This window comes from Homo sapiens, chromosome 17, assembly GCF_000001405.40.
Source record: "Homo sapiens chromosome 17, GRCh38.p14 Primary Assembly".
Lineage (NCBI taxonomy): Eukaryota > Metazoa > Chordata > Mammalia > Primates > Hominidae > Homo > Homo sapiens.
The window spans coordinates 58,745,443-58,758,766 of NC_000017.11; the positions used below are offsets into that span (position 1 = coordinate 58,745,443).

Below are 13,324 nucleotides of genomic sequence, written 5' to 3' on the forward strand. Positions count from 1 at the left end.
TTTAGTAGAGACGGGGTTTCACCGTGTTAGCCAGGATGGTTTCGATCTCCTGACCTCGTGATCCACCCGCCTCGGCCTCCCAAAGTGCTGGGATTACAGGCGTAAGCCACCGCGCCCGGCCTTTTTTTTTTTTGAGAGGGTCTCTGTCACTCAGACTGGAGTGCAGTGGTACAATCATAGCTCACTGCAGCCTCAATCTCCCAGGTTCAAGCAATCCTCCCGCCTTAGCCTCTTGAATAGCTGGGACTACAGGCATGTACCTCCATGCCCAGCTAATTATTTTATTTTTTGTAGAGACGGGGTTTCACTTTGTTGCCCAGGCCGGTCTCGAACCCCTGGGCTCATGTGATCTTCCCACTTCGGCCTCCCAAAGTGCTGGGATTACAGGCATGAGCCCGCTGTGCCTGGCTGCCATTAAATATTTAAATCGTAATGAACTCCTCTGGTTCTATGCATACCAATTATCAACCAGTTGATAACTGGATTTCCCCAGATACTTTGGGTATAGCCAGATCAATGCAAATGTCTGGTCTCCTTGGAATTAATAGTTCTCACTGTAAATTCATATATTGTTATTGTGATTTTGATATACTCTCGCGAGATTTACATTAGTTAATATCCCTCCATTTGATTAAATTTGGAGCACTCATTTCTGAGCCTCCAAGTTCAAGTTGCTGAACTTTGTCATAAATTCATGAAGGTAAATGTCATTATGGTAATTTAAAACAAATTATTTGACACTTTTCCCATCTGGAGGTGGGGTGTATTATGTCCCCTTCTCTTGAATCTAAAATGGGCCTCTTACTGCTTTGACCAATAGAGCACCATAAAAGTAATGCTATTGACATATGAGACTAGGTCATGAAAGGCTACGCATCTTCTTAGGCACTAGAACACTCACTCTTGAAGCTCTAAATTACTATATAAGAAGTCTGACTACCCTAGGCCGTGCACGGTGGCTCACGCTTGTAATCCCAGCACTTTGGGAGGTCGAGGCAGGCAGATCACGAGGTCAGGAGTTCGAGACCAGCCTGGCCAACATGGTGAAACCTCATCTTTACTAAAAATACAAAAATTAGCCGGGCTTGGTGGTGGGCACCTGTAATCCCAGCTACTCAGGAGGCTGAGGCAGAAGAATCGCTTGAACCCGGGAGGTGGATGTTGCAGTGAGCTAAGATCGCGCCGCTGCACTCCAGCCTGGGCAACAGGGCAAGACTCTGTCTCCAAAAATAAAAATAAAAAAGTCTGACTATCCTAAAGCCATCATGCTGGAGGTGTTATGTGTAGGCATTACAGTTGACAGCCCTAGCTGAACTAACGCTCAGCAACCAGCATCAATGGCCAGTTTGGCAACACAAATTAGTATCTTGAAAAATATTTACATATTAATCATTTCTCAACTCTATTTTTTTCAGTATAAATGGAAAGGTATAATGTAAGTCATCTTGGACATCTAGCCCAGTTGAGCCTTCAGATACTCTCCCCAACTGTTACCTTATTGCCGCTTCCTCAGACCTTCAAGTGAAAACCACCTAGCTTGAGTCCAGTCAACCTACAGAGCTGTGAGATATAGTTAAATGGTTTTTCTTCTAGCCACTAAGTTTTGGGATAGTTTGTTTTATAGCAACAGATAAGTGAAACAGCTGCCTGACAGCCTCTCTGGGTGGGTTACCAGATATTCCCAAGTTGTGTCTTTAGGTGCCTTCTTAGAATTTCAGATCTTCCTGTCCAGTGTCTTTTAGCTTTTTCTGTTCATCTTCATTTCTACTAACACCATTCTTTTCTGTACTCTTATTATCTCCCATTGCCCAACTGATTCCAGCCTTCAATCTCTCTTCTTCAATCCATCCTGCATTCATCTGAAAGAATGTCTGCATATTAAATTTTCTTAAAACACAGTTTTGGTTGTATTTCTTTCTAAATTCAGTATTTTTGTCAATACTTAGAATAAATAACTGCAATTCCATATCCCACTACAGCCTAGATCTAATCTTGAACTTTTTCCCATAGGCTTTATAACCTTAAAGAGTCATGAAATTATTGGCATGTATTTCCAGCTATACAAATTTCCAGAATTTTATATGACAATTTAAAAGGATATTTTATAAATTAATAATTTCATGTGTGAAGGACTCAAGTTCAGTTTGCATATGTATTTTGATTTGCTGCCTTTGTGCAAATAACTGCAATGTATTGTATTATTACTTAGGTATATGGAGGTTCATCAAATCTTAATCTTCAGCTTGCAGAATTACTGGAAACCATGTGTGTGCTATATTGGTGCCAGATATGTCATTTATAGATCACTCTTTCATAAGGCAGCAAACTACTTCCTATGCCCAAATCATTTTCTTTCTGGAAAAGATACATTTTGTCAGCATGGTTACCATGTGTGGTAATTGATAATGTCTGTGCCACATGGCTTACTTCTACCCTTGTCCGACACAGCTATTCTACCACCTATGATTACCATATGCTACAGCACTCTGGGTTAATGGAATCATTTCCATCTTCCCTTCTAGTCACAAATGTCATTGTGGCTCAATTCCATCAGCTCAACTAAGAATAAAATATTCAGTACTATCTAAGCAAAGAACACACCTTTGTGAAGTTTTCATATTTAGTTGACTGTTTCATTTTCATTTTTAAAAGCTAGGTTTTTTTGATGAATGTTCCAGAGTGAGGAATGGGCATCTGCTAACTAGAATAGGACATGATCAATGTCACTCTGAATTCTTGCATGTATTTATTTTAAATAAATATACAAAGGTAATTAAAAATTAGATGATAATAAAGGTAAAGTTTTTACCACCATAAAGCATTTTTTTGTAAAGTGAAAACTAGTAGCAAAAGATTGAAGTGGATTTTTAAAACAGTGTCAATTTATTTTAGAAGAACCATTTATTATAGAAGGAACATACCACATGTTAGCCATTTATAGCACCATCATCAAATTACTATCAACCACTGCCCTCTTCTTCTTTTGTAAGTATGTCATAATAAATAATTTTGGTTCCTCAAAGAACCATGCTAGATAAAAAGAAAGATTGTTATTAATGGTTTAAACAAGAAAAAAGGTTAGAATCTGTTTTGGGGATTTACTTCTTTGCTTTTTAAAACTAGTAAAATACAGTGCATGTGGGCCAGTTATTACCTGATGTGAATTTTAATTTTGACAGCTTTGAATTATTGCTGCAATATGACCATATTAGCCAGCAACAGAAAAGGAATAAAAAATTATTATAGCAGTAGTATTTTTGGCAGCAAATGGGAATGATTTTTATATTATTGATCTGGGATGTAGAAGAGGAAGAAGTTTCTATTTGAAAATGTTTCTATGTTGCTCAGTTTTTTCAGTTGTCAGGTGTTCTGTTGCTTCCTACTAGTCAATTTGACAACATAGTCAAATTAATATTTTAAAAACTATTGGCCAGGTGTGGTGGCTCAGGCCTGTAATCCCAGTACTTTGGGAGGCCAAGGCAGACAGATCACGAGGTCAGGAGTTTGAGCTCAGCCTGACCAATATGGTGAAACCCCGTCTCTACTAAAAATACAAAAATTAGCCAGGTGTGGTGGTGCACACCTGTAGTCCCAGCCACTCGTGAGGCTGAGGTTGCAGTGAGCTGAGATCGCGCCATTGCACTCCAGCCTAGGTGACAAAGTGAGACTCTGTCTCAAAAAAAAAAACAAAACTATTTATATCAAGCCTGTCTAACCTGTGGCCCATGGGCCACATGCAGCCCAGGACGGCTTTGAATGCAGCCCAACACAAATTCATAAACTTTCTTGAAACATTATGAGGTTTATGCATGGACTTTTTTTTTTTTTTTTAGCTCATCAGCTATCATTAGTATCTTTTATGTGTGGCCCAAGGCAATTCTTCTTCCAATGTGGCCTGGGGAAACCAAAAGATTGGACACCCCTGATTTACATATTAGTTATCCTTCCATTCAGTTTTTAAAATATAAATTTAAAATATACATTTTAATATTTGCAACTTAATATTTATCATTAGGCCTAGCCTTAAACATTTACATAAGCATTAATTTTAGGCCATGGGATATGAGCTATATATAATTTGTTATTATACTCTCTCCAAAATATAAAATGCCAATATTTTATGTTAACATAAACTATGTTTTACTATTTGAGATATTATATTAGCTTCAAATCAATGGTTTTTTACAACTAGCAAATCAAAATTGAGGGTTTTCTGGAAATAGTGTTTCTAATTCTGCCTATAGATAAAAGAGGCATACTTTAGAATAGACAGAATATTCCAGACTTGCATAATCAAGCCAATTTTTTTCCTGAGACAGGGTCTTGCTCTGTGGCCCAGGCTGGAGTGCAGTGGTGTGAACATGGCTCACTGCAGCCTTCATCTCCCAGACTGAAGTGATCCTCCTACCTCAACCTCCCAAGTAGCTGGGACTACAGGCATGTGCCACTATGCTTGACTAATTTTGTTTATTTTTTGTAGAGGTGAGGTCTCACTGTGTTGCCCAGGCTGGTCTCAAACTCCTGGGCTCAAGTGATCCTTCCACCTTGGCCTCCCAAAGTGCTGGGATTACAGGCATGAGTGAGCCACTGTGCCTGGCCCCAAGCTAATATTAATTGAAGATAAACTGAGAAGTTATAGACTGTTTTTTTAAATCAGCTTTGATAGACTTCTTAGTTATAAGCATCAATTGTTTATATATCAAATATTTTATTAACTTACAGAAATTAATCGACTTTTTAGAGCAGTTTCAGGCTTACAGAAAAGTAGAAAGGACAGTTCCAATATATGCCCTCTCCCCTCACTTACATGTTTTCTCCTATTATTAACATTTTGCATTATTGTGGTACACTAGTTACAATTGATAAGCCAATATTGATGCACTATTATTAACTAAAGTCAATAGTTTACAGTAGGGTTCACTCTTGAACATTCCATGGGTTTTGATAAATGTATAAGGATATGTAGCTACCATTACAGTATCATACAGAATAGTTTTCACTGCCCTAAAAATCCCCTGTGCTCTACCTATTCATTCTTCCCTCCCTCCCCCAGAACCCCTGGCAAGCTATTCTTCTAATTCCAGGAAATCATTTACTGCTAATGTCAAGTAAACTCAGTTTACTTTGGAGACCTAAACTTGCTTTAACTTAACTAATTTATAGTTCTTTTATATATACAATCCATTTTATTCCTTAAAGTATTATTTGTTACTATGTCAGTCAGGATCTAGTTAAGGAAAAAGAGAATGGGGTGTAGTGGCTCATGCCTGTAACCCCAGCATTTTGGGAGGCCGAGGTGGGCGGATCATGAGGCTAGGAGATGGAGACCATCCTAGCCAACATGGTGAAACCACATCTCTACTAAAAATACGAAAATTAGCTGGGCTTGGTGGCACGTGCCTGTAATCCCAGTACTTGGTAGTCTGAGGCAGGAGAATCACTTGAACCAGGGAGTCAGAGGTTGCAGTGAGCTGGGATCACACCACTGCACTCCAGCCTGGCAACAGAATGAGACTCCGTCTCAAAAAACAAAAACAAAAACAAAACAGAGAATCCAGGAAATTGGTTACACAAATTATGGAAGAGCTAAAAAGCCAAAAAGGAAAGATTCACTTCTCTAAGTCCTAAAAGATTAGAAAGCTGAAAGCTTCTACCATCCCTAGGCTAAAGGACAAATGGGGGAAGATGTTGTTCTGGAGCTGAGGGGATAGGGTCACTGGCAAAAGCTAGAGAATCCCAGTGAACATATTCATGGGGAGGAAAGCTACAAAGGAAATGCATCAGGCCTCAGGACTGAGCTAGGGAACAGGGCTTTTCTTCTTTCCTCCCTTCTTCCAATTTCTTGTCAGTGCCTACCACTGGACAAATCCCAGGTGAAAGTCAGCTGTCACAGTAGCCTAGTGAATACAGCCTGAAAGGGTCAGCCCTCCTACAATACAGAGCAGGGCAAAGGAGGAGAAAGAATAGGTATGAGGGCAAAATGGACAAGGACTGACACAGTAATCAATTCTTTTTAACTTTAAAAATCAACTTTATTGAGGTGTAATTTATATACAATTTATATACAATTTATATACAATTTATATACTTATTTTAAATGCAGACTTGGATAATTTTTTTTTTGAGATGGATTCTGCTATGTTGCCCAGGCTGGAGTGCAGTGGCTATTCACAGGTGCAATCATATTACACTGTAGCCTTGAACTCCTAGGCTCAAACGATCCTCTTGCCTCAGCCTCCAGAGTAGCTGGGACTATAAGCACATGCCACCCTGCCTGGCAATAATTTTTGGCAAATGAGTACACCCATATGACCAATCAGTCAAGATACAGAACATTTTAATCACTTCACAAAGTTCCTGCTTACTCCTTTGCTACAAATCTCCCACCCCATCCCAGTCCCAGGCCACCAGGAATCTGCTTTCTCTCACTATATAGGTTAATTTTGCCTGTTTGGGAATTTTATACAAATGGAAATATATTATGTACTCTTTTGTGCCTGGATTTTTTTTTTTGGCTCAGTATATTTTTGAAATTCATCCATGTTGTGTTTATCAGCAGTTCATTTATTTTTATTGCTGAGTAGTATTCCATTGTATGAATACACTACTTTATCTGTTCATTTGTTGATGGACATCTGGGTTGCTTCCAGGTTTGAGCTGTTATGAATGAAACTTATGTGAACAGTTATGTACAAGTTTTTTTGTGTTTGGGGTGTGTGCAAGTGCATGTGTGTTTGGTGGACATGTTTTATTTCTCATGAATAAAATACCTGGGAGAGGAATTGCTGGGTCATGTAAGAAACTGCCAAACTCAACAATTCTTTTTAACCTTATAAATGTCATTACTATGAATGTCCACAAAAGGACATTGTACATTTCCTCCAAAGAGCAAAGGGTTAGAGGGAGAATAATTTTTATGAGAAAAACTTTAAAAATTTGATACCTTAAAAATACGTTAAACTTTTCATAACAATATTTTTTTTCCTTTTTATTTTTTATTTATTTATTTTTTTTCTGAGACGGAGTCTCGCTCCGTCACCCAGACTGGAGTGCAGTGGCGCGATCTTGGCTCACTGCAAGCTCCGCCTCCCGGGTTCACGCCATTCTCCTGCCTCAGCCTCCCAAGTAGCTGGGACTACAGGCGCCCGCCACCACGCCCGGCTAATTTTTTGTATTTTTAGTAGAGATGGGGTTTCTCCGTGTTAGCCAGGATGGTCTCGATCTCCTGACCTCGTGATCCGCCCGCCTCGGCCTCCCAAAGTGCTGGGATTACAGGCATGAGCCACCGCGCCTGGCCTCCTTTTTAAAAAATATATTTTAGGGACAGGGTTTTTCTTTGTTGCCCAGGCTGGTCTTGAACTCTTGAGTTCAAGCTATCACAGCCTCACAAAGTGCTGGGATTACAGGCGTGAGCCACCATGCCCAGCCCTCAATATTTTTTAATAGATAGTATGCAAGGGGATTAGAAAAGTGTAATAAGAAAGGAGTTGAAAAAGAGAGCAAACTAATGCAAAATAATTACTAAAGACTTCTTGACAATGGCAAAATCATCCTACACAGCTGCTCTGAGATCTCAGCACTTGCTGTCAGCTACCTTCTGGCAAAGCTACTTTGTCAAATGGATGCAATAGGATCCATATTGATCTTTGTGAAGGAATATCTTTATTAATATAAGCAAACACGCCTCTCACTTATAGTAATGTAGAGGTGTGGGCTTTTTCTTTTAGTAGTATTGTTTCCCCAACATATATCACTTTCCTTTGAAATGTGGGCTGAGTCATAAATTAATGTCACAAATGAGGGAGGCAACTATGTTACAAAGTAGGAAGGCGTAGATATGAATTGTTACAGTTGACAGCTAAGTACTCTTGAACTAAATGTCATTATGTCAAATTCTGAGATATTAAACAATTGTTGAAATGTAAAATTGTGGACATTTAGGTTTGCAGCCTAAAAAGTTTTGTCAATCTTTTCTAGACATTCTGAAATGGAAATGAACAGGTGGATTGAAAACAAAGACAAATGAGGAGTTTAAAGACTTTCTTGGCACCTCATAGAGAAGTTGCTCTACGCTGGTTATGTTTTAAACAAAACACATATAAATACATTCAGCATTTCTGGAAACAGATTTATTAGATCTTTCCATTTACCTTTGGGAAAAAAATATAGAGGACTCAAGGCAATTATTCACTATATTCTTTCTATCATGTATTATTTAATCTCAAGCTAGGAGAGGAACTCTGTTTTACATGATGCCATAATGTACATTAGTGAGCTCAACCCACTTAATCTTAAAATAACAGTATCAGGTCAGGGATTTAGAATACAGTATTATATGAAAACAGTTGGCAGAGAGACTCCCTCTTCTGCCATTAATAACTGGAAACGATATTTCAGACCCTAAATCCAACTGAAACCCAGAAACAATACATGGAGAGGATGGGGTGGATAATTTGTGAGAACATGTTTTTCAAAGTAGAGAAAGAATCACTATGTTTTTGCTGAATTATATGTTGCCATGGACATGGCAGTTTGCAGTAATGATGCTATCATCTATACAGCTGTATAACAACACAGCTTCTTTCTCTCCCACTCCTTCAGTAAGGCTTAAAAATAATAGGTTTGTGTGTAGTTTGGTAAGAAAATTAGAATCACTTAAAGTCATTTCAATTCCAACCCAAGAAAGAAAAAAAGAGACTTGGGGGGATGGGGAAGAAGAGCAAACAAAATGTAGAAAAAATACATATTATTGGCCGGGCACGGTGGCTCACGCCTGTAATCCCAGCACTTTGGGAGGCCAAGGTAGGCGGATCATCTGACATCAGGAGTTCGAGACCAACCTGACCAACATGGTGAAACCCTGTCTCTACTAAAAAGACAAAAAAATTAGCCGGGCGTGGTGGCACATGCCTGTAATCCCAGCTACTCAGGAGGGTGAGACAGGAGAATCGCTTGAACCCAGGAGGCAGAGGTTGCAGTGAGCCGAGATCCTGCCATTGCACTACAGCCTGGGCAACAAGAGCAAAACTCCGTCTCAAAAAAAAAAGAAAGAGAAAAGAAAAAATACATATTATATAATGAAGTATAATATGCATTATGCAGAGACTAAAGAGGGGAGTCTTGGTTGCCTGAAAACTAATGGGTAAAATCCATTGAAGTGGGTGAATCCAGTGAAAAGACCTGGATTGAGTCCTTGTTGCATCCCTTGCATGTGACCTTGAGCAAAGTCACCATGTCTTTAAGGCTGTTTTCTCACCTATAAAATGGAATAATTGGCCGGCGTGGTGGGTCACACCTGTAATCCCAGCACTTTGGGAGGCTGAGGCAGGCAGATCACCTGAGGTCAGGAGTTTGAGACCAGCCTGGCCAATATGGTGAAACCCCGTCTCTACTAAAAATACAAAAGTTAGCCGGGGGTGGTGGCAGGCCCCTGTAATCCCAGCTACTTGGGAGGCTGACGCAGGAGAATCACTTGAACCCGAGAGGCGGAGGTTGCAGTGAGCTGAGATCGCGCCACTGCACTCCAGCCTGGGTGACAAGAGCGAGATTGTCTCAAAAAAAAAAAAATCATAACGGTAACGTCCTATACCTCAAGGGACTGTGGTAAGAATTAAAAGGGTGAAATCAATGTGTAAACTATGAAGCCCAATAGAAATAAGGTGTTATACAGACAATTGCACTATTGAATCTCCGGAGACAGAGTTGAGTTAAGGAAAAATGCACTTTCGGAAAGCTTTGGCGACTGAACGACCTGAGTTCTCCAACGCCAAGGCTGGAAGTTTGGAGACCTTGAAACAAGTAAATTACCATTAATATCATAATTTTCAGTTTCCTTTTAAGAAATGAGAGTAACACCACTTTCTTCACAGAATCAAGTGAGAGAGAACCTATGCAAAGGAACTTATCACTTGGTAGGTATTTGAAGCTCCCTCTGCCTGAAAACTACTTATTCAAAGACTGCAACAAAAGGTGTTCACAGTGTGGTATCTTTCAAAACATACGCTAAGGCAAGGAACAGATAAGGAAATGGAAGTACATCCAATTGGGATCCAAGCAACCCAAGTGGGAACCAACAGCTAGACTTGGAGATGTCTTAGCTCACTCTTAACCACGTGAGGGTAGGGTATCCAACCAATAAAGACATTCAGAGTTGGAGAGCGGGCGAGTGGAGTGTCCTTTAGACTCCGCGGACTCGACGGGAGGGACCCTGCAATGCTTAATTAGAACCGGTTGCCATGGCGACAGTCTCTAGGCAGCGTGGGCTGAGCTCTCCGTAGGAATAAAGGGTGGGCCGCCGCTGGACCCTGCGCGCGCCCGCCACCAACTTTCCCTCCAGATCCGAGAGGGGCGGCGCGCTCCGCCCCCGGGCCGCGCACGTCGGTGCTCGGCGGCGCGCACGCCTGCGGGAGCCCTCTCCAGGCAACCTAGTGCTGATCGCTCGTGCCGGTGCGGCCGTTAACCGCCCTTGCCGGAGCCCTAGGCTCAAAAGCAGCCCCTTACCCTTCCTGGGCTTCCCCCAACCCCTTTCCCGGTCTGCCCTGGGGCATGAGCAGCGATGGCCGGCTGCATCCCTGAGGAGAAAACTTACCGGCGCTTCCTGGAGCTATTCCTGGGCGAGTTTCGCGGACCGTGCGGCGGCGGCGAGCCGGAGCCGGAACCCGAACCCGAACCCGAACCCGAACCCGAGTCCGAGCCCGAGCCCGAACCTGAACTGGTAGAAGCTGAGGCGGCCGAGGCTTCGGTAGAGGAACCCGGGGAGGAGGCGGCCACGGTAGCCGCGACGGAGGAGGGGGACCAGGAGCAAGACCCGGAGCCCGAGGAGGAGGCGGCGGTTGAGGGTGAGGAGGAGGAGGAGGGCGCGGCGACGGCGGCGGCAGCCCCGGGGCACTCGGCCGTGCCGCCGCCGCCGCCCCAGCTGCCGCCTTTGCCCCCGCTCCCGCGACCGCTGTCAGAGCGCATCACCCGCGAGGAGGTGGAGGGCGAAAGCCTGGACCTGTGCCTGCAGCAGCTCTACAAATAGTTAAGTAGCTGGGCTTGGCTGGTGGTGGGCCCGCGGTCCCCACCGCGCCGGCCTCGGACGCGGCTCCCTCGGCCCCTCAAACTGCTCTCTTTTCTGCTCCTCTCCCCCGCACCCGCGCCTGCCGCCGCTGAAAGCGCCCCCGCTGCTCGGACCCGGGCGGTCGGCTGAGAGCTGCCCACGCCCGCCTCGGCCCCCACGCCCGCCTCGGCCCCCACGCCTCCTACCCGGCCTTGAAGCCGCTCTCCTGAGCCCCGGCGCCCTCCCGCCGGGCCCGGGCCCCTCATCCCCTTTCACCTCGGCCCCCAGCTTCTAGCTCCACTTCACGCAACCTTTCCCTTTCCTGCCTGGAAAGGTCCTTCCTCCCAGGCTTGAGCTCCCTCTTCTTCCCAGATCCCTTCTTTCTCCGGGAGGTTTCCTCCCACCCCAGTCTGTCTTTTCCCGGGCTGAGTGCCTTGTTGTTTGGCGGCAGAGACGCGACTCCTTTCTAGACTGAGCTGCGAGGTGCCTCCTGCGTAACTGCAACAATGATGGTTATACCGGCCCCGTATCCAGATGAGAGAATGGAGTAGATTTTCCGTCAGGTGCTCAGTGTTGAAAGTGAAGGGCTTTTTAGATGTTTTCACACAGGGAAGCCTAGTCTCTTAGTTTAGACATTTGACATTCCATAATTGAGGGAAGTGGGAAGGAATTGAGAGGGAAGGGTAAGCAAAATTTTGCAAGCAAGCCTTCGGGTGAAAGAGCCATAATTCATTAAAGTGGAAAAGTCAGGCTGTTTTGATTAAATTGCAATTAGGTGCAGTATTTTCAGTCCATTAAGTAGATGGGATGGGGTGGGGAGAAAGCAGATGGCTTAGCTACACAGATGAAAGTCTAAAATAGAAAGGTCAAGGCTTTGCCTTTCATCCCAGTTCTGGTTTTTATAGGCCTGAAATAGAAACGGTTTACAATTGCGTTTCTCAATGGAATTGTTCCGAAATAATGACAGAGGAGAATACTAGTAAGTCTCTGAAAACATTGGTAAACCTGGGAAGTCTTTTGCCATTCAGCTGATAGTTGTAATGAAAGGTGTTACTCTGGCCACCCAAAAAGTTTACTACTGCAAGATTCGCTGTAATTAAGTTCAAACTCACTTTTGGGATTTTCTCAAAAGCCTAAAGAAAAGAAGGGCCTGGAAAGTAAACCTGTTTTGTCTTCATCCAAGCTAATAGACACCTGATCAGATCATTCTCCTGTTAAAGCAGCAGTTTATCAATAGGGGAAAATCATTTAACAAATCTTCCATAGAAGTGGACTGTGTTGGTATTTCATAATATAAGCTATCTAAAATTTAATTTTAAAATACTGTTCAATTACAGTATTACCGTCAATTAGCAAGGTAATGATGCTTTTTGAGAAACGTAAAATATAAAATGGCGTGTAATACCACCACCCAGAGATAAACAGTATTAACATTTTAGAGTATATCTGGTCTTTGTGAACTATCATAGACAAGGGCTTCTGAGATGTAATTTTTTACAGTATTTAAAGATAAAGCTCCCTGCTTAAAATAAAATGGAAATGTTTATTAAGGGAATTTATCTTAGCAGCAGACTGGCTCTATCTTGACAGTTAATTCTTACCTTTACAAATGCAGTTTGCAGAATTAAACCAATTCAAACTTTAGAAAGTGTCCAAATAAGGTCATTATTTTAGTACAACCCTGAACATTTGCCATGTAAGAAGGTTTTTTTTTTTTAACTTATTTAAAGATGATGGCAAGAAGATGTGTGTTTTTTCATATAGAAGCGGCCAGGAGCGGTAGCTCACTCCCGTAATCCCAGCTCTTTGGGAGGCCGGGGTGGCAGATCATGAGGTCAGGAGTTCGAGACCAGCCTGACCAACGTGGTGAAACTGCGTCTCTACTAAAAATACAAAAATTAGCTGGGCGTGGTGTCGCGCGCCTGTAATCCCAGATACTCAGGAGGCTGAGGCAGGAGAATCGCTTGAACCCGAGAGGCAGAGGTTGCAGTGAGCTGAGATTGTGCCAGTGCACTCCAGCCTGGGTGACAGAGCAAGACTCCGTCTCAAAAAAAAAAAAAAAGATTAATTTTGATATAGGTATAAACTAGAAAAAACTGAAATGATAAAATGGCCATCTAGTTGAGAACAGAAGTTTGGATTTGAAATAAAACTAGCAAAATTAAAGTTGGAAAATATTTCCGCTTAAATCAGAGATTTCATCATTTATATTGTGTTTTGTACAGAAGTTGTTAATGTATTTTTATTCAGATATAAAATGGCTGGCTTGTTCATGTAAAGTATCTT

At 42.4% G+C, this 13,324-nt stretch overlaps 1 protein-coding gene and 1 long non-coding RNA gene across 4 annotated transcripts in view, besides 2 other annotated features; one reads left to right on the forward strand and one right to left on the reverse strand.

Moving 5' to 3' along the window:
* Nucleotides 1–10,668, reverse strand: part of LOC105371843 (uncharacterized) — a 31,958-nt gene extending 21,290 nt beyond the window's left edge. Inside the window, exon 1 of one of the 2 annotated variants that reach the window (XR_007065866.1) lies at nt 10,589–10,668. This is a non-coding gene — a long non-coding RNA (uncharacterized LOC105371843). The remainder of the gene's footprint in view (nt 1–10,588) is intronic. The other variant, XR_007065865.1, reaches the window with a different exon arrangement.
* Nucleotides 10,231–10,420: a silencer, noted in NCBI's record as "silent region_8775". NCBI's record gives its function as "represses an Ori minimal core promoter by ATAC-STARR-seq in GM12878 lymphoblastoid cells {active_cell/tissue: GM12878}" and the evidence as "EXISTENCE:reporter gene assay evidence [ECO:0000049][PMID:35858748]".
* PPM1E (protein phosphatase, Mg2+/Mn2+ dependent 1E) overlaps nt 10,412–13,324 on the forward strand; it is a 229,326-nt gene continuing 226,413 nt past the window's right edge. The window contains exon 1 of one of the 2 annotated variants that reach the window (NM_014906.5): nt 10,412–11,019. In NM_014906.5, coding sequence (NP_055721.3) covers nt 10,556–11,019 — 464 coding nt within the window. In that variant the 5' untranslated portion in view covers nt 10,412–10,555. The remainder of the gene's footprint in view (nt 11,020–13,324) is intronic. The other variant, NR_048561.1, reaches the window with a different exon arrangement.
* Nucleotides 10,420–10,568: a silencer, noted in NCBI's record as "fragment chr17:56833223-56833371 (GRCh37/hg19 assembly coordinates)". NCBI's record gives its function as "represses an EF-1alpha promoter that drives an FKBP-Casp9 reporter gene in an ReSE screen in phorbol 12-myristate 13-acetate-treated (for megakaryocytic differentiation) K562 erythroleukemia cells {active_cell/tissue: K562(+PMA)}" and the evidence as "EXISTENCE:reporter gene assay evidence [ECO:0000049][PMID:32094911]".